The sequence below is a fragment of the Homo sapiens genome, chromosome 6 (assembly GCF_000001405.40).
Source record: "Homo sapiens chromosome 6, GRCh38.p14 Primary Assembly".
NCBI classification, from domain to species: Eukaryota; Metazoa; Chordata; class Mammalia; order Primates; family Hominidae; genus Homo; species Homo sapiens.
Genome location: NC_000006.12, coordinates 79,529,758 through 79,547,558, shown reverse-complemented (window position 1 = coordinate 79,547,558; position 17,801 = coordinate 79,529,758). Strand labels below are relative to the sequence as shown.

General features: G+C 38.7%; 2 protein-coding genes across 9 annotated transcripts in view, besides 5 other annotated features; one reads left to right on the top strand and one right to left on the bottom strand.

The window, feature by feature from the left end:
* SH3BGRL2 (SH3 domain binding glutamate rich protein like 2) overlaps window positions 1-9,926 on the bottom strand; it is a 166,023-nt gene extending 156,097 nt beyond the window's left edge. For all 4 annotated transcript variants that reach the window (NR_171675.1, XM_047419391.1, XM_047419392.1 and 1 more), the window contains exons 1-2: window positions 9,675-9,926; window positions 8,716-8,831 (exon numbers count right to left, since the gene is read on the bottom strand). Coding sequence is in view for 1 of the 4 variants with exons in the window: in XM_047419390.1 (XP_047275346.1) it covers window positions 8,716-8,831; window positions 9,675-9,698 (140 nt within the window). In the remaining 3 variants the exon portion in view is untranslated. The remainder of the gene's footprint in view (window positions 1-8,715; window positions 8,832-9,674) is intronic.
* Window positions 2,159-2,921: an enhancer, noted in NCBI's record as "OCT4-NANOG-H3K27ac hESC enhancer chr6:80254355-80255117 (GRCh37/hg19 assembly coordinates)". NCBI's record gives its function as "activates a minimal SCP1, AML or CMV promoter by ChIP-STARR-seq in naive H9 embryonic stem cells {active_cell/tissue: H9 hESC(naive)}" and the evidence as "EXISTENCE:reporter gene assay evidence [ECO:0000049][PMID:30033119]".
* Window positions 2,186-2,465: an enhancer, noted in NCBI's record as "active region_24770". NCBI's record gives its function as "activates an Ori minimal core promoter by ATAC-STARR-seq in GM12878 lymphoblastoid cells {active_cell/tissue: GM12878}" and the evidence as "EXISTENCE:reporter gene assay evidence [ECO:0000049][PMID:35858748]".
* Window positions 8,512-9,085: an enhancer, noted in NCBI's record as "NANOG-H3K27ac hESC enhancer chr6:80248191-80248764 (GRCh37/hg19 assembly coordinates)". NCBI's record gives its function as "activates a minimal SCP1, AML or CMV promoter by ChIP-STARR-seq in naive H9 embryonic stem cells {active_cell/tissue: H9 hESC(naive)}" and the evidence as "EXISTENCE:reporter gene assay evidence [ECO:0000049][PMID:30033119]".
* Window positions 8,777-17,801, top strand: part of LCA5 (lebercilin LCA5) — a 53,792-nt gene continuing 44,767 nt past the window's right edge. For 2 of the 5 annotated variants that reach the window (NM_001122769.3, XM_011535504.2), the window contains exon 1: window positions 10,129-10,394. The gene's annotated coding sequence lies outside the window, so the exon portion shown is untranslated. Of the gene's footprint in view, window positions 8,862-10,128; window positions 10,444-17,801 lie in introns of those variants that run through there. The other 3 variants (XM_005248665.5, NM_181714.4, XM_047418251.1) reach the window with 2 other exon arrangements.
* Window positions 9,616-9,665: an enhancer, noted in NCBI's record as "active region_24769". NCBI's record gives its function as "activates an Ori minimal core promoter by ATAC-STARR-seq in GM12878 lymphoblastoid cells {active_cell/tissue: GM12878}" and the evidence as "EXISTENCE:reporter gene assay evidence [ECO:0000049][PMID:35858748]".
* Window positions 9,660-10,233: an enhancer, noted in NCBI's record as "H3K27ac hESC enhancer chr6:80247043-80247616 (GRCh37/hg19 assembly coordinates)". NCBI's record gives its function as "activates a minimal SCP1, AML or CMV promoter by ChIP-STARR-seq in naive H9 embryonic stem cells {active_cell/tissue: H9 hESC(naive)}" and the evidence as "EXISTENCE:reporter gene assay evidence [ECO:0000049][PMID:30033119]".

The following is a 17,801-nucleotide window of genomic DNA, read 5'->3' as shown; positions in this document are numbered from 1 at the left end:
AGCTTCTTACGCGATGGCCCTTGGGTCAGGGGTAGGGAGGCAACACGGGCCTCACTCCAGTTCAGCATGTTCAGGTCAGATGCCAGCGCATCAAGGCTTCATGTGGCCTCCAGACAGGTCAAGTGTGGTGGGTGACCTTGGGCAATGCTCAGCTTTACCCAGCACCCCTCTGTCACTGTGAGGAAAAGAAAGGCTTCCCTCAGGTCTACCAGTAGTGTACCTCCCAGCTTCATCTCTGGGTTGTGCTCTTTACTACCCAGCAGCTCCTTGGGGTGGATCATGCTCCTCTGCTTCTCCTCTAACTCATGGAACCACAAAACCTCAGTGGTCCTTGCCATGTCCTTTAAGGTCATAGAGAACCAGACTGTGGACAGTCTGGTTCTTATCCTCTTCTCAGGCATACTATGTCTTTAAGCCTTAGTGACAGTGGTTTTCCTACTCCCATCTTCAGAAATTTCTAGACTAGAAACAGAGAATAGTCTCTACGGATGCCTCATGAACAACGGGAAACTCTCCCAAGAACTGTCTCAAATGCTTTATTCCAATGGCAACACAAAGTTACAAAAGAGTTTCAACTTAGGCCAGGCCCAGTGGCTCACGCCTGTGGTCCCAGCACTTTGGGAGGCTGAGGCAGGCGGATCATGAGGTCAGGAGTTCGAGACCAGCCTGGCCAACATGGTGAAACCCCGTCTCTACTAAAAATACAAAAAAATTAGCCGGGCATGGTGGCGCGCATCTGTAATCCCAGCTACTTGGGAGGCTGAGGCAGTGAACCCAGGCGGAGGTTACAGTGAGCTGAGATAATTGCACTCCAGCCTGGTGACAGAAGAAGACTTCATCTCGAGAAAAAAAAAAAAAAGAGTTGCTACTTAGCAGGCCTCAGGAAGGGAGATGCCAATCTCCTCTTCTTCAAAGCACCCTATGAATTTCTATGAATTATTTTCTTGTACTTCCTACTCTTAGCCCCATCCACTCTCTCCTTGGGAGAACGAAAACCCTCTCCAAGAAGCCAAATATGGTTTCTTCCCTTCTTTCCATACACAGACCTCTCTTACGGTGAAGTAAAAGTGAAGAGAGGAGTTTCCTAGGGTGATGGTTGCTGGCAGTAAGGTTGGTTATGCACTTTTTAATAAGCCCTGGTGGGAGGTTTTGACTCCTAATTATTTATGGCTCTTTAGAGAATGTTCTCAGCTTTGGGCAGTAGCCACGATTCTGAGGCAGCAGGAAAAACCCCACTAAGCAGGAAGTGGGAGAAACAAGACTGAAGAAACTTTCAAGCTTAATCATTTTTACCCCCCTATTTGTATTATCTGGAAAAAAAAGTTGTTAATTCATCCAAATATTATGATTTTCCTCAATATCTTGGGTAACATCATAGTGTCATAATGTTAGGGTCTACCTGGCTTCTAGTCCCAATAATTTTGGTGTTAGGGATTAGACCAAGACACGTGAAATTGCTACCCTGTTCTTCCTTCCCTGTTGCTTGGTCCAGATATCATGATTTCAACTCCACTTGTTTCACTTGTACTATTGATTATGTATTTTTTTTTAAATGTAAGGAAATTTTACATCCCTGGAAAGTCAGTGTTATTCATAAACAGAAGTTTATATGAAAATTGAGAAAATGGAAACATTTTAACTAGAAGCTATTGCTTACCAAGGTTGTATGCAAAAAGTCTGCCCTTTGTTGTTGTTGTTTAAAAAAACAATGACAGCACGTTAGCAAGGTGCTAAGACTACCATCAGGCTTAGCTTTTCTCTTTCCTGAATACAGAAAGATTTGAAGTCAATGTTATTTAATAATTTCAAGTACCACTAGTATTAAGTGGCCAGCGTTTTGGATGACACAACTTTGTCAATGTTTTACAGTTTTCATCGTTTTCCCTAGTATTATGCAGGTCCTCCATGCTTTACTTAGCCTAATAGTTACTTATATACATGTAGTGAGAGGGAATTGTAAACGACATCTTTTAGTTTCTTTTCTGTTGGAATCTCATTTCTGAAACGATTTTCCTATAATTATGAAGACAAAATTTTCAGGTGCTAAGATCAGATTATTTGAATTTACCAAGGTATAATAATGGTTAAAGAAAGGATAAAAACATAAATATGTTAATTCCTCTTTAATAATTCAAGATTTCAGTGATCTGAAAGTACTGGGAAAAGTCACCTGAGTAATAAAGCATGCATCATTTGACTGGATTAAAGTTCAAATCACTGAAAAGCAGCTTATTTTTCATCCGTCACCATGGATACAAAAGGACAGCTGAAGTACGGGCATCTGACATCACAAGCATGCCCAAACAGGCCTGCAGGGGAGCTGCATCAGCGCCACAAAGGACGAAAAGAAAAGCGGCCAGAGAAGGGGAGGAACTCTCAAAGGGAAACAGGTCATTGTTAAGATGATGAGTCAGAAGTTCAGTTGGGAAGATTAAATACAGGGAGACATGAGGCCAGCTGAGAAGCTTGACGACTTCAGCATTTGTTTACATTGACCTTTCAATACCCTTCCTAGCCAGAAATAGAACTAGAGGGAGACCGAGACACTGCATCAGATCAGTTGCTACTCAAGCAGTAGTTTCTGTAGCTTCTTCTGTTTTCTCCTTATTTTATACTTGGGCTTTAATTTTAAATAATTAAAAACATTTAAAAGTTTAAACATTTAAAAGTAATGTTTTAGACATTTACTTGCCTGGCTCATGTAATGTTAAAAATCATCCCTAAAGTAGCTGAATACTCCAAATAACAACTTAAAGAATCAAAGGAACCAGTATCTGCTACACAACAGGAAATGGTAAATATTGAGAAAAATTGCTATTTTAGGTGTTGTTACTCATGAAGAGACACAATTTCTATTTTGGTTTATTTTTGATTTTTACTAACTAAAATTTTTGTTTCTTATCAAAATGCAGCACATCTATTCTCGGTTGCTGGGTAGAACATAAAGATCCAGACAGGAATGCTGGATTTGGAGGTGTGCTGGTAAAGGTTTAACCAGTGGCTCTGGGGAAGCTATGATTTGTAGCATTTGCTGGTTTCTGTGGTGTAAATATTTTCACCGTGGTTGATTTTGAGCTACCAGGGTGACATCAATTGGCTTGCAAAATTTCTGAAAATGTAACAATTGGCTTTTGCAAGCTAGTACCAGCTGGCTCCAGCACAGCAGTGATTAGGCTCTATTCCAGCTCTGACACCAGCTTGGGGTGGGATTTTTTAAGCACCTCACTGGGACTCAGTTTCCTTATCTGATGAAGGGTTGGAGCTGAGCTTAATCTTTGGTTGTTAAAACTCCATTGGCTTGCTCTAGATGTAAGCCTGTCCAACCCGCTTGATTTTGTTGTTGTTGTTGTTCTGTTTTGTTTTAGGCTTTTAGCAGCCTGAAAAGCCATGGTTTTTAATTTCTGTCTCTAGTGTTAGACAGAAAAGAGGGATGAGGAAGGGGCTTTATTGGCCCAACCAGAAACAGGAACTGAGAACCCATGACTGTATTCTATCCCCTGCAGGGTAGTTTGAAAGAGGATTCTTGGGGGCCACTTATGGAAGATGGTATTTGAGAGATGCTGAGTTGTTAGGGTTCTAATTCCTCATAACCACTTCAACTGTGCAGGGCAATTCTGATTTTAACTACCATATCTTGTTTTATATTTCTTTAAAAGGTTCTGTTAGAAAAGAAGAGTGCCTTAGTAAGGAAAAAATAACATAAGAAGACAACTTGAATAATTGATCTTAAAGGCCCTCTTATATTTATAAATAACTGATGATTCTATGAAACTAAAAATGTGAATCAAACACCAATATACTGATGTCTGTAGAGTACTCGAAGTGTTTGTTGGAGGCTCCTCTCCTTCAACAGAGAGACAGTTCCTATGTTTTAAATATGCTTCTGTTTTTAATATGGGGTTTCCATATAAGATTTTACTTGAGAAAGGGTTCTGCTGCAGGAAGTGGGTGGGGGATTAAAGACAACTGATTGATGCCATTTAACAAATCCAGAAACCAAGCTTTAAAAAAGAATGCCTTATCCTGTATTTCACAACTAGTAAGAGGCAGAGCCATGTATGGAATTAAGGTCTCTGGGTTTCCAGACCAGCAATATTTTCCTTTTTGGAAGCTGGCTACCTGGGACCATTACTTTCTATTATATACCTCTGGGTAAATAATCTAATCCTGTGTTGTCCAATAGGTTAGCTACAACCTGCATGTGACTACTGAGTACTTGAAATGTAGCTGGCCTGAAATGAAATGTGTTGTAACTGCAAAATATATACTAGGTGTCAAAATGTTAGTACAAAAAAAGGTGAAATATCTCATCGATAACTTTAAAATATTGATTGCAAGTTGAAATAATTTGGATATTAAATATTAAATAAAACTAATTTTACTTTTTAAAAACTTATTTTAACATGACTACTAGAAAATCTAAAATTAAGTGGGTGGTTCACATTCTATTTCTATTAGACAAATCTGATTTATCCTCAGGGTCAGTTTCCTCATCTATATTCCATTTCTCAGAGTTGTTTAAGATCATGAGGTCATCTTCATGAAAGTACTCTGTAGAGTGCCAGGCAAATATAAGACCATACTTCAACACATTTTAATTCTTGTGTGGTCACCAACTGTTAGCTGTTCTCTGTAAGATGGTAAGAAGTTTTGTGGAGGATTTTTTTCTTTTGCTGTTGTTTATATGGTTTTGCGGGGTGGGAGGAGAGGGAGGAGATAAAGTAATAGTGTAGGTTGCAAACAAAATAACAAGCACATTCATTCAGTCTACTCATTTATATTCAGTGAGGAAAAGACACATTAGACTAGAGCCAATTGTTGCCTGACAGGAACAGAGACATTGAGAAGGAACTTCTCCCTAACTCCCACCTTCCAACCTCTCCCTAAATGCCCCATTTTGGCAGAACCTACCGATAAGCCAACTAGCAAGGGTGTCTGGGAAATGCAGTTTGTTGAGTCCTAGCTCCTGAACCTTAAAGTAGAATATAGAGGCCAGGTGTGGTGGCTCACGCCTGTAATCCCAGCACTTTGGGAGGCCAAGGCGGGTGGATCACCTGAGGTCAAGAGTTTGAGACCAGCCTGATCAACCTGGTGAAACCCTATATTTACTAATAATACAAAATTAGCTGGGTGTGGTGGTGCATGCCTGTAATCCCAACTATCTAGGAGGCTGAGGCAGAATTGCTTGAACCCAGGAGGCAGAGGTTGCATTGCAGTGAGCTGAGATCGCACCATTGCACTCCAGCCTGGGCAACAAGAGTGAAACCCTGTCTCGGAAAAAAAAAAAAAGTAGGATATAGAAAAGGCAGGCTAGGATCTGAGAAACAAAAGGCATATAACTGGCACAATTCCAGTTCAACTCTGGCACTGGTGTAAGTGGTGGTACTCAGTGACTTCATGATGGCCACCAGCAGAAGTTGCTGGGTCCTGGAGAGAAGAGGGATAGACTGTTGCCTGGCAGAGCAGTGGTCCTGGTATCTTGCCTAGTGGGATGACCAGTAGAGGCAGGTATGTTTGTAAGTATGAGACACTCTCTAGGAAGTCCCAGAAATTATTGGTGGGGAAGTCTTTGGAGGGGAGGGGTGCTATAAAGCAGAGGCAGTCAAAAAATAACAAAATTTGGTTAATCTCATCTGTATTTACAGACTGGGGAACTTGTAATTACAAGAGTTTTTCTTAAATAAAATGTGAAAACAAGCCCACCAGACTGATCTATGAACCTATTTGAATAAAATTATTATCATCACTTTTGGGGACATCTATTAGCTTTGTCCAGTATTTCTTCTTCTAGTAACAGCATTCCAGTTTTCCTGTGGAGAATCACCTCACTATTCTGAGCAAACATGAAAGATAAGGTGACTTTATCATATTCTTTCCCGAAGCAAACTCTTGGCCACAGTACTTACTAATAGTTCATATTCAAGTGTGGGCAGTCAGAGTTAATACCAAGATTTCTGCTGGACCAATCAGGAAAGAGATATTCTTTTTCCACTGGGGTTGTGAGGTAAATAGAATGTAAATCTGGAGCACTGGTGGCCATACCTGGAAGGGAAAGCCTGCCTTAAATAAGACCAACACGTAGAAAAGTACATCCAAGAGACAAAGAGAAGAAAAAATTTTAATAACATTGAGCACTTGGATCCAACCATACGTGGAGCTAGGTCTACTAGATTTTTCTGTTATACAAACCAATGCATTCTTTTTTTTTAAGCCATTCAGAAATTGAGGTAAAATTTACATACAGTGAAAAGCACACATATTTTATATATTTTAATGAATTTTGATAAAGGAAACTTCTTTTTTTTTGAGACTGAGTCTCACTCTGCCGCCCAGGCTGGAGTGCAGTGGTGTGATCTCAGCTCACTGCAACCTTTGCCTCCCAGGTTCAAGCAATTCTCCTGCCTCAGCCTCACGTGAAGCTGGGACTGCAGGCACACACCACCACGTCTGGCTAATTTTGTATTTTTAGTAGAAATGGGGGTCTCACCATGTTGGCCAGACTGGTCTCAAACTCCTCACCTCAAGTGATCTGCCCACTTCGGCCTACCAAAGTGCTGGGATTACAGGCATGAGCCACCATGCCCGGCTGGAAACTCTCTTTAACTACCACGTCAGTCAAAACAGCATATTCACATCACTCCAAAAATAACTTTCAGTCCCTTCCACTTGATCCTACCTCCATCCCCACAGTCAATAACTGTTCTAATTTTTTCCAGTTTAGATGAATTTTGCCTGTTTTTGAATCACTTATTAATGGAAGTATACAGAATATATTCTTTTGTGTCTGACTTCTTTTGCTCAATATTGTCTTTAAAATTAATCCGTGTTAATCAGTAGTTCATTCTATCGATGACCAGCATTATGTTGTAAGTATATACACATTTTTACAAACATCTCAAGTTTTCTTTCTCCATTAACAAAAAAAAACTCGTACATTTCATCAAGTGATCAGAAACTGTATCCTTTAAACAGAGCAATAATCAAAGGCTACTAGCTTTTTGTACTGCAAAATCAAGTATTCATAGCAATCAGATTAGACTACATTTGTTTTCATCAGAGCAGCCCACTTTCTAGGTATGAAATTATACTATTTATTTATTTTATTTATTTATTTATTTATTTTTGAGACGGAATCTTGCTCTGTTGCCCAGGCTGGAGTGCAGTGGCGCGATCTCGGCTCACTGCAACCTCCGCCTCCCGGGTTCATGCCATTCTCCTGCCTCAGCCTCCCGAGTAGCTGGGACTACAGGCACCCGCCACCACGCCCAGCTCATTTTTTTGTATTTTTATTAGAGACAGGGTTTTACTGTGTTAGCCAGGATGGTCTTGATCTCCTGACCTCGTGATCCACCCACCTTGGCCTCCCAAAGTGCTGGGATTACAGGCATGAGCCACAGCACCCGGCCAATTATACTGTTCTTTACACCCAACTCAACCAATCCATTCGATTTCTCTTAAACATGCAGCATATTAGATACTGTTTCAAATTTAGTGTTATATGCTAAAACCAACTATTTACCTAGAATCTATTAATAAATTTAAAATTTCCAAGCAACATGAGATCAAGAAGTTAGAGAAAAAATTTTTGAATTTTTGTTATGTATCACATTTCTGTAAATTATATAAAATTGTGACACTGCTTTTCTTCTTTTGTAGAATGGTATGAAATAGATGACTGAACTTTAGCTAAGGATAATTATACTTATGTGCTTTCCAAGATACTATATATAGTATGTCCCCCCACTTTACAAATTATGGTCATTGTAATTTCTCTGTCTACAGTTAGAGAGTCTATTTATCTACCTATTACTTTTTTGAAACTTCTAACCAACCATTCAAACTCGACACTAGTTTCCCCAAAGGAAAATGAGAATAATCCTACTAGTAAGCATTTGTAGGAATATTTTAGTTACATTATAACATCTACATCATTGCCATATGGCAATAAAGAAGCCAATCAAAGTCCTACAGAAAATGAACATTCAGTTAGCAATGTAGCAAATCTGGAGATATTGCAGTATCAATGGAAGAAGCCCAGGATATTAAAAATAAAACTCCAAAGTGCTTAATGACCATTGCAGAATTTGTTTCATAAACAAAATCTTTAAAAACAAGAGTCTGATTTCTGTTAACTATAATTTCAAGTGGCAGAAATATAAATGTGGTTTTGATAACTTTGTTTCCTTTATTTCTGAAAAGCAGAATCCTGTGTGGTACTGAAATAAAATGTCAAATGGTATCTTAGAAAATTCTAGCCCTATCAAAAATAATATATAAAACCATGTAATGTCATAAAACTTTTAAAACTGCTTTCTCATATTTTGGGGTAACCTTTTAAAATGGTAATTCAATAAACTAGTTTTTACTTCTGTAAATTTATACATTTTTTGGTCTTTTTTCAAGGTCAAACTGATACTGTTATTTTGAATATGAGGGGGTGAATAAAATTGCACACTGTAAGAATCCTGAGACTATGTTACACACAACTAGACAATTTTTTGGATTCTCCCAGCGTCTTAAATATTTTCTTGCTTACCAACAACTTCTTAACCTGTAGGTGAAACACAATGAAGGCACTAAATCCGAAACCACGAAATTTGGAAGCAGACCTAGGCTTGTACTCTGGCATTACTACTTACTACTTTCGTACCTTGTGGTAGATACTTTAACTTCTCTGAATCTGCTTTCTCAAGTATAAACAATGAATAACAATACCTGTCTGGAGTCATGAATGAAGATGGAATGAGATTACACTGCCTGGAGCATTCTGAGTGCTGAATAAATGGTGGTTTCATTCTCAGCTCTCCTTCAGCAATCCTGATCTGACGCTCCTGTGACAGACATTTGTCCACGTAAATACGGTATGTTTTCTGATTCTTCCTAGCAACTTCCTTTATAAGTAATCCACCCATACATTTACATGTTAATTCTAACAGAGTCCATAATAACGAGTGAGCTATTTTAACAGTGTCAGCAGAGACAGATTAAAGAATTGATGAAAAGTAATTCCGTGCAATTTAGGGATTACTCATCTTATTTTCACTAACAGATGACTGCCATCTTGTACAGATGTATTTCGCATACAGAAAATTACATTTAATCACAATATTGTTTGGGTGGGTTAGTCTGTAACTTGAAGTAAAATGTATTGACAGGATAAAATGAAAGCTTTGAAACAGTGCAAAGGTGGAAAAACGAGGTTGAGCGAGAAGCAGGAATTACCAATCTTCATGGTTAGAAGATTCATTAAACGCATTTGCCTTCAAATATTAGATTCTCTACAGAATGGTGGTAAAAAGGCCAGTGAGAAATTAACAATAGTGAGAACACCAGAGTAGTGTTAAACCACCTTGATAATCAGATGGCTCGGAGCAGTTTAAAGCCCTCACGAAAGAGGATTTTTTTTTACCTTCCCTGTCTCCCGCAATTAATGCCATTTCTAAAAGAGAAAATATGTCACACATCAGCGCTCAATAGGCTGACATGCTCCTCAAAACGTTCCTTAAAAAAAAAAAAAAAAAAAAAAAAAAAAAAAAAAAACTTGTGTGCAAATATTTCAGATGCCATTCCACCCCAAACCCGTTCCAAAACCTAAAAATCACTTTCAAGCCAAACTCACGGCTCGTTGGTGATTCACAGCCAGGATCTCGAGGCAGGAACAATAGTGCACTCACCCCGCATCCTCCTGAATCAGCCATTTCGGTAAGAAGATCCAGAAGCACTAGCAGTTTGTTTGTAATTTGTTTACAATTTAAAAGCAAGTTATTTCCCAAAGGAAATCTAAGCAATTGTTAAGTGTTTTACATTACGCAGTCGCCAATTTTACAATTCATATCATGAACCCACTTTGCCCTCCGCCCGCGTCCCTCTCGGAGCCCACGACGCTCAGCAGTCGAGCCCTGGCACCGCACAGCCCGTAGGAGCCTGGAGCGCTCCGCGTTTTGCCCCAATTTCCCTACTTGGGGGTCTCCGCTACAGCTAGAGCGGTCGGCCAATGGAGACCTTCTCCCGCACTCGCCGTCCCGCCTTCCAGTTCCACTGAAGCCAATAAAAAGGGCCGTCTGGAGACAGAAGCCAATGGGAGCTCGGGTAGAGTCATCATGATTGGCTGCGGTCTCTTCGTAGTGCAGTCTAGGCCTCCGCCTCCGTTACCCTGGAGCCCAGGTTACCGCCGCTGCCACCCAGGAGCCCCGATCCTCGCCTCTGTCCCATCCTTGTGTTCAAACCTCCCGCATCTCGGCAACCTCGGCACCCGCCCGGCAGCCTCCGCAGGAACCAGGCACCCGCTCTTTGGCGGTCAGACGCCGAGGCCCCAGCTGGGAGTTTGGTCCTAAGAGGGAAGGCAAGGAGGCGGGACGCCGCATCGGCTCTGCTGAAGAGCCTGCGGGTTGGAGGTGGGCTTTGAAGTGGGCGTGGAGACGGCGGGGGAGGTGGAGGTGCGAGGTGAGGCTGGGTTGAAGCGTCTGGTAGCTAGTGAAGGGGCGTTCGTGGATGGGGGCCTGCGGGTGGTTCTTAAAGCAGGGAAGATGAAGGGATTAGGGATGGGGGAGGATGTAGGGACCGCGAGGAGAAGGAAGACCTAGGAAAATGAGTAAAGAGCTCGGCTTCTGAGAGGGTCCCGAGGAAGGGAGGTTGACCGGCACTGGGGGGACTGGGAAGTTAGGAGGAGAGGAGCTGGGAAAGGGTATTTACTTCCTGGGACCGAGAAGAGAAGAAAGGGAGCAAGCGGATCTAGAGAAGTGGTTGTTATTAAAACAAACAAAACAAAAACCCCGGAGGCCCGTGGAGACTCAAGACTAGAGAGGAGGGGCAGGGCCAAGGGCCAAGACGGAAAAGGAGGCTTTGGTAGCTCTCGGATAATAATAGATGTGTTATTATTAAAACTGTGGTTAGAGTGGAAAGCCGTACTTGTCCAGGCTGTGATACTTCTATACATCCTTCAGGGATGGGATGAGAGGAGTAAAGATGGTTAGAAATAAAAGAAAAAAGAAAGTGCCTTTTTGGCATACTCGAGTTGGAGTCGGTACTCAGATACGTGATGTTTACGTTAGATAGACCGTGGGATAGTGTTTAACAGTGAAGAGCCCTGGTCCAGTTCATCTGATATAAACCCCTTTTTTGTTCACTTTGTTCTTTGGAAAGTATACTTGGGCACATACATATTTATTCCCCTCCTTTATCTTCACGTTAAGAACTTGCATTAGAGATATCTTTGCAATCAGAAGTCATCATTTAGTTTTTGGCAGAGGGAGTGGCTATATGTGTTTTAGAATGGTAAAACCGATGTTTCCAGTTCTTTACTCATTCCCTCTTTCTTTTGCATGGTTATTTTAATCTATGTTTTTTTCCAGTTGTTCCACATTTAAATTCTATATTACCATTTTAAATATTTCACTTTGTGATTTCCCATGTTAGCTAGTATGTTTATCCAAATAAGTTATAGGAAATAATAGTTTGTTTTGATTCTCTAAGTTGACAAAGTATCATTTTAAATATCAAAAAGTAGTTTGTGACTTTGGAAAAGAGATTTTTCTTCTTTTGTGAGTCACATCTCTTCCGTTACACATATTGTGGAACTATAATTCTGTAGGACACAATGGAAGCCCATTAAATAAAGATGCTACCCTTCTCTTGGGTTCTTCATCTGCCTGTCATTCTTCAACTCCTTTGTGGGATCTTCTTCCTCGGCCCACCATATTTCATTATTGTTTTTCCCAATAATCCAGTCTTCAGTCTTCCGTCTTCTATTTTTTACTCTGTGTTCTTGGCTGTGTTCTTCCTCTCCTTTGGCTTACACTATTTGTGTTTTATTAACACTCTCCCAATTTTTTATTTCTGATCTGGAACTTTTGAGTTACTGTCAAACTTTTGTAGCTAATTTTTGGTATTTCCACATAAATTTCCTATCCATAGGCATCCCAAACTCAGTATGTCCAATATTGAACCCATCACCTTTCCCTGCCAAAGCTGTCCTGCTTGAATACCACATTCTCCTAATTTTGCAAGCCCAAAACTTTGGAATTTACTCAAGTTCTTCTCTATTCTCAGACTTCATATTTAATCTGTCACCAAGTGTAGTTTATCTTACTTGAAAAACATTTCTGGAATCAGTTCCGTACTCTGTATCTCTAGTTATACTACTTTCAAAACACTGTCTGTCAGTGATTATCGAGACCAATTGATATTCTTCCTCCAGCTTTCCTGCCCTCCAATTCTTAGATTGGAGATGGATCCTTGCAAATGTCAGATCTGATAATATTAACCCTACTGAAGAGCCTTGGTTTCCAACCAACTTATTAATGACATAGAGATTCTTCTTGTGATATTATCTTCCACCCGATCCAGTCCCACTTATTATTACTTTAGCACTACTCCCCAGCCAGTGCCATCCTTTTAAACTAGCATTGTCCATTTGAAATAGAATGTGAGCTATATCCATTTTTTTCAGTAGACACACAATAAAATACAGGTGAAATTTTAATGTATTTTTAAGTCACATATATCCAGAATATTATTTTAGCATATGTCAATGTAAGAAAGATTATAGAAGAGCTATTTTATGGTCTGTTTTATGTACTAAGTTTTCAAAATTCCACATGTATTTTACACTTGCCGCATATGCCAATTCTGAATAGCTACATTTGAGGTGCTCAGGAGCCACTGTATTGGACAGCACAGTTGTAAAGTATTTGCAGTTTGGTGATATGCCATGCTTATCTAATGCCTTTTACTTTTGCAAATGCTGCATCCTCTTATTGAGACAGGGTCGTACTTCACTGTCTTCTTTTTCTAACCTCATTTACCCCCCCACTTTTCAAACACACACATCCATGAAATTATAATTGTGCTTAACCTCTGCTAATACCGTAAGACTCAATTTAGGCATTATCTCCTCTAGAAACCTTCTCAAACTCCCTCTGTCCTCTAATCTTAGTTCTGAGTTTACTAAGCTTTCTCTGCTTCCTTTTATCATTAGTACTTATAGACTGTCGCATTATTTTTTTTTCCTCTTGGTTGGGAATTACTTAACGGTAAAGGATCAGTTGTATTTTACTCATTTTTGTATCTTCAGCTCCATCTATAATCTAGCGCCTGACATTTCATAGGTGTTCAGTAAATGTCTTATAAATGAATAAATGAATGAATGAACATCTTAGGATGTTTTCATTTGACTGACTAAACTTTGGGAATATGTACTGTACTTAAGATGTTTTAATTTGATCCATTGTTTAAAATGTTTAAAATAAGCTGATTATGTCTTACATTTCAAATGTAGCATTTACTGTGATCTGATTGATCATATTTGATCATACTTTAAATCCAAACTTTATTTTTTGTTTTATTTTTAAATAAAAATAGTTTGATTTTTAAGCAAGATTATGTAGATAAGTAGTATAATAAGGAAAATGCTTATAAATACGTGGGGACATGTTATTAGAAGAAGTGGAACACTTTACTTCATTTCTCCTTTGTGGAAGAGGAGCAGTTACAGTGTAACTGCTCCTCTTCCACAAAGGAGAAAAACCAAATGTAGCAATATGGTTTTTACTTTTATCTCATCTTTTTTGCGGGGAGGAGAAATGTCCTTATTTATATCTTTCTCACTGAAGTTTATTTACATTTTATTTGCCTAGTTGTCTGTTTTGTGAACTCTTTTGCTGGTAGCAAAGGTAGCCAGTCAGCAATGTTTTATCTAAAGAAGCTGAGCACAGGGATATGTCAGGAAATTAACGGTTTGTTGATTTTACAGTTTTTTTTCTTAAAACTAAGATGGTTTCTTAGAGTCAGACGAATTAGATATCATTATGATATTTATATACAATGGACTCTACAGCTTAGATTTGTTTTCTGATTCATTTGTAATCAGAGATAAAAGAAACTTCTGGCACTCGAGGATCTTTAGGTTATCTTCTTTTTTTTTTTGACCTGTTATGTGTAATTTTTACTGTTTGGGACTTTTTACTTTTTTTTTTTTAAAGGAGAGTTTACTTTTGGATGAACAATGTCAAGTATTAGATTTGGTAGCTTCCTATTAATTGCTGTAGTAGCATGTTTAGCCAGCTTTAGGAAATAAACAGTTCTTTAGGAATTGAAATTGTGCACAAGGCTTATAATTTTCCTTTTTTGCTTTTATCTAGTTAATTCTTTGATTAGCATCGAGAGGGAACTAATGGGATACATACAAGTACCCCTCACTCCCTCGCTCCCCCCTCCTCCTGCAACGAACAACTGTTAACTGATTGATTCTTGGTTTAAATTAGTTGCAGAACTACACATGGACTATAAATCTTCAGTGTCCTGTTAATCTAAGATCACTTTTTTCCTTTTAAGAAAAAGAATAATTATATTCATTCAATAGTATTATGTCTACATTACATTAGTCAGAAATTACTGTTGTAACTGCAGGTGAAATTCCTTTTGTTTGAAACCTTATTAGGTTCTCAGTTATTTAAAATTAACCTAGAAAAAAATATTTCAGCTTTGCAATGGCAGTGACTCTGAGGAAAACTTTTTGATTTGCTAACTTTTCTCTCTCAGGAATTCTAGAGATTTAAGTAATTCTTATGCAATTATTTTAAAAGAGGGAAGATTTAATATTTTCTTTAAAACAAAAAGGAAAATTTTATAAAATGGAACTTAATATTCTATTTGAAATAACATTATAATCATTCATTTCACAAATAATGAATGGTGGGTGGTGTGTTTACTATGGTGAACTAAACAGACAAGAGTTCTGTCTCACGGGTCTTATATTTACTAGGATAAGTAAGACAATAAATGTAAGATTATTTCCAGTAGTAACAAGGTCTGTGAAGAAAATAAAGCATAGTAATAGGATAGAGTGACTGGGCTCACTTTAATAGAAAATTGTCAGGGAGCCATTTTTGAGAAGGTGACATTTGTGCTGAGAACAGGAAGAAGAGAAGGAACCACTTTTGTGAAGTTCTAATTAGTGCAGCAAGTACTAAGGCTGTTGGCAAAAATCTTATATGTTGAAGGCACAGAAGAAGGCTAGTTTGCCTGAAAAAGGAGATTTTGAGAGGAAGAGTGATGTAAGGATACAGAAGTAGACAGAAGGACTAGACCTTGTATAAGTTTGCAGGCCTGGTTAAGGACTCTGACGGCCATAGGAGACCATTGAAGTATATTAAGCAGGAGAGCAGTGCTGGTCTGATTTCTGTTTTAAGTTGCTTTTTCTCACTGTCATGTGAAAAACTGACGTGAAGCAAGGATGAAAGTGGAATATCAGGAGGTTATTGCAGAAGTTCTACAGAGGAAACATGGATGTGGACTAGACTCACATGACTTTGACTAGACCAGTAGCACTGTGGACAGTAAGAAATGGTCAGATCTGGAATATAGTATGGAGATTAAAGTGTCTTGTTTTACAGATGGTTTGGATGAGAGATGTAGGAAGAAGGAATCCAGGACAATCTTTAGATTTGAGTCATGAGTAATTTAGTGGATGGATTTACCATTTAATGAGATCAGAAACATAGGAAAGAGTTGAGGTGGAAAAGGGACGGTAATGATTTCAGTTTTGGACATGTAAATTTGAAATGATTTTTAGATATCCAAATAGAATTGTCAAGTAGGAAGGTGAATATATGAATGTGGAAGCCAGGCTAATTGAAGTCTAGATGAAATCACCTAAGGAGAGAGTGTAGATAACATGTGCTGCCCTGTGTATTCCAACATTTAGAGATCAGGAAGAGGAAGCAGATTATTCAACAAAGGAGACTGACAGGAGACAGCCAGCGAGGTAGTAAGCAAACCAGGAAAATAGATCACTATGGAAAAGCAAGTAAGAAAAGAGAGTTTTTAGGAGGGAAGGAATGGTTGGTTATGTCAAACACTACTGTGAGGTTAAGGACCAGTACGACAGAAAATTGGCTGATGGTGGGAGGAGATGTGCAAAAGAAGAAATAAGAAACTTGGCTGATGGATTTGGGAAGGTGAATGTCATTGGTGAGCTTGACAAAAGCTGTTTCAGTGGAGTGGTGGGGATGAAAACCTAACTAGTGTGGGTTCAAAAGGAAATGGTCGGAAAGAAGTGGTGATAGCATTCTAGGTTAAAGATTACTCTTCAAAAAATTATTGGAAAATTGGAGTGGAGAAATTGGGTTGCAGATGCAACAGAACATGGAATCAAGCATCAGCTTCATTAGCACCTCTTCATTGATAGGAATGATCCTGTAGAGAGGGCACAATTGCAGACGCACAATCCTTGACATTGAGAGGTAGTATGGGAAAGAAGATGAGTAAAAGGTTTAGCTTTAAAAAGGAGCAGAAATGCTTCTTCAGTTTTAGCAGAGTTGAGAGGGTAAAGAGGATGGGATAGATACAGGTGGAGGTGGCTTCAAAGATGAGGTAGTTATCACCTGATTGTTATTGAAATATTGAGTAGGTCACTCAACGAAGAGTCAGAAAACTTACAGTCTGTTTCAAGTTTTACTAACGGAGCTTTCTGATCTTAGACCAGTTGTGAACTTGGGTAAGTTTGGGCCTCAGTTTCCTAAATCTTTGCAAAGGAAAGACTTGATTTCCTAGGGTCCTGTCCAGTGATAAATTGTTATGTAATCTTGTTGAGCTATAGTAGTTTTTATTGCTTTATACTTCACAAGAAAACTTAATAATTACTTCCTTTACCTCATCGTTATTTGTTTCTTTTTTTTGGTCTAATTTTTTATGTCTTTTCTTTTTTATTTAACTTATATTCTATTTGCCTGTTTGCTTATTTGAGCTATTTTTCTGAAGTGCAATTAGCCAGGCAGCTACAAGTTTCTACAAGGACTAAGGACTAATTTTTTACAAGTGAATTTTCACAAGTGTCTAAGTTTCCATTCTCTAGGAAAGTTAAGTTATTTGGGTTGTTATATTTCCTAAGGATGTACTTGCTTATTAAATGCAATGATGAATTGTGAGATGATATAAGTATTACGCATAGGTTAGAAAAACCCACCTTATTTCAAAATAGAACCTAAATAATCAGAAGTTTAGCAAAGAAAAGAATATATTGTTTTGTTTTGTTTTGTTTTCTTTCTTAAACTTTTAAGTTCAGGGGTACATGTGCAGATTTGTTACATAGGTAATCTTGTTTCATGGGGGTTTGTTGTACAGATTATTTCATCACCCAGGTATTAAGCCCAGTACCTATTCGTTATTTTTCCTAATCTCCTCCCTCATCCCACCCTTCACCCTTTAATAGTCCCTAGTGTGTGTCATTCCCCTCTATATGTCCATGTGTTCTCATAATTTAGCTCCCACTTATAATGGCATAATGGCATTTGGTTTTCTGTTGCTTTGTTAGTTTGCTAAGGATAATCTTTCTTAAACTTGAGTTAGCACAAACCATTTCAAATATTCTTCACAGATTTAGAGACATCCCTCAAAACCTGGGTTAGAAATAAATGAGTTAACCAATTATTTCTTGTTTATATATATATATTTTTATTATACTTCAAGTTCTAGGGTACATGTGCACAATGTGCAGGTTTGTTACATATGTATATGTGTGCCATGTTGGTGTGCTGCACCCATTAACTCGTCATTTACATTAGGTATATCTCCTAATGCTATCCCTCCCCCCTCCCCCCACCCCACAACAGCCCCTGGTGTGTGATGTTCCCCTTCCTGTGTCCAAGTGTTCTCATTGTTCAGTTCCCGCCTATAAGTGAGAACATGCGGTGTTTGGTTTTTTTTGTCCTTGCAATAGTTTGCTGAGAATGATGGTATCCACCTTCATCCATGTCCCCATAAAGGACATGAACTCATCCTTTTTTATAGCAGCATAGTATTCC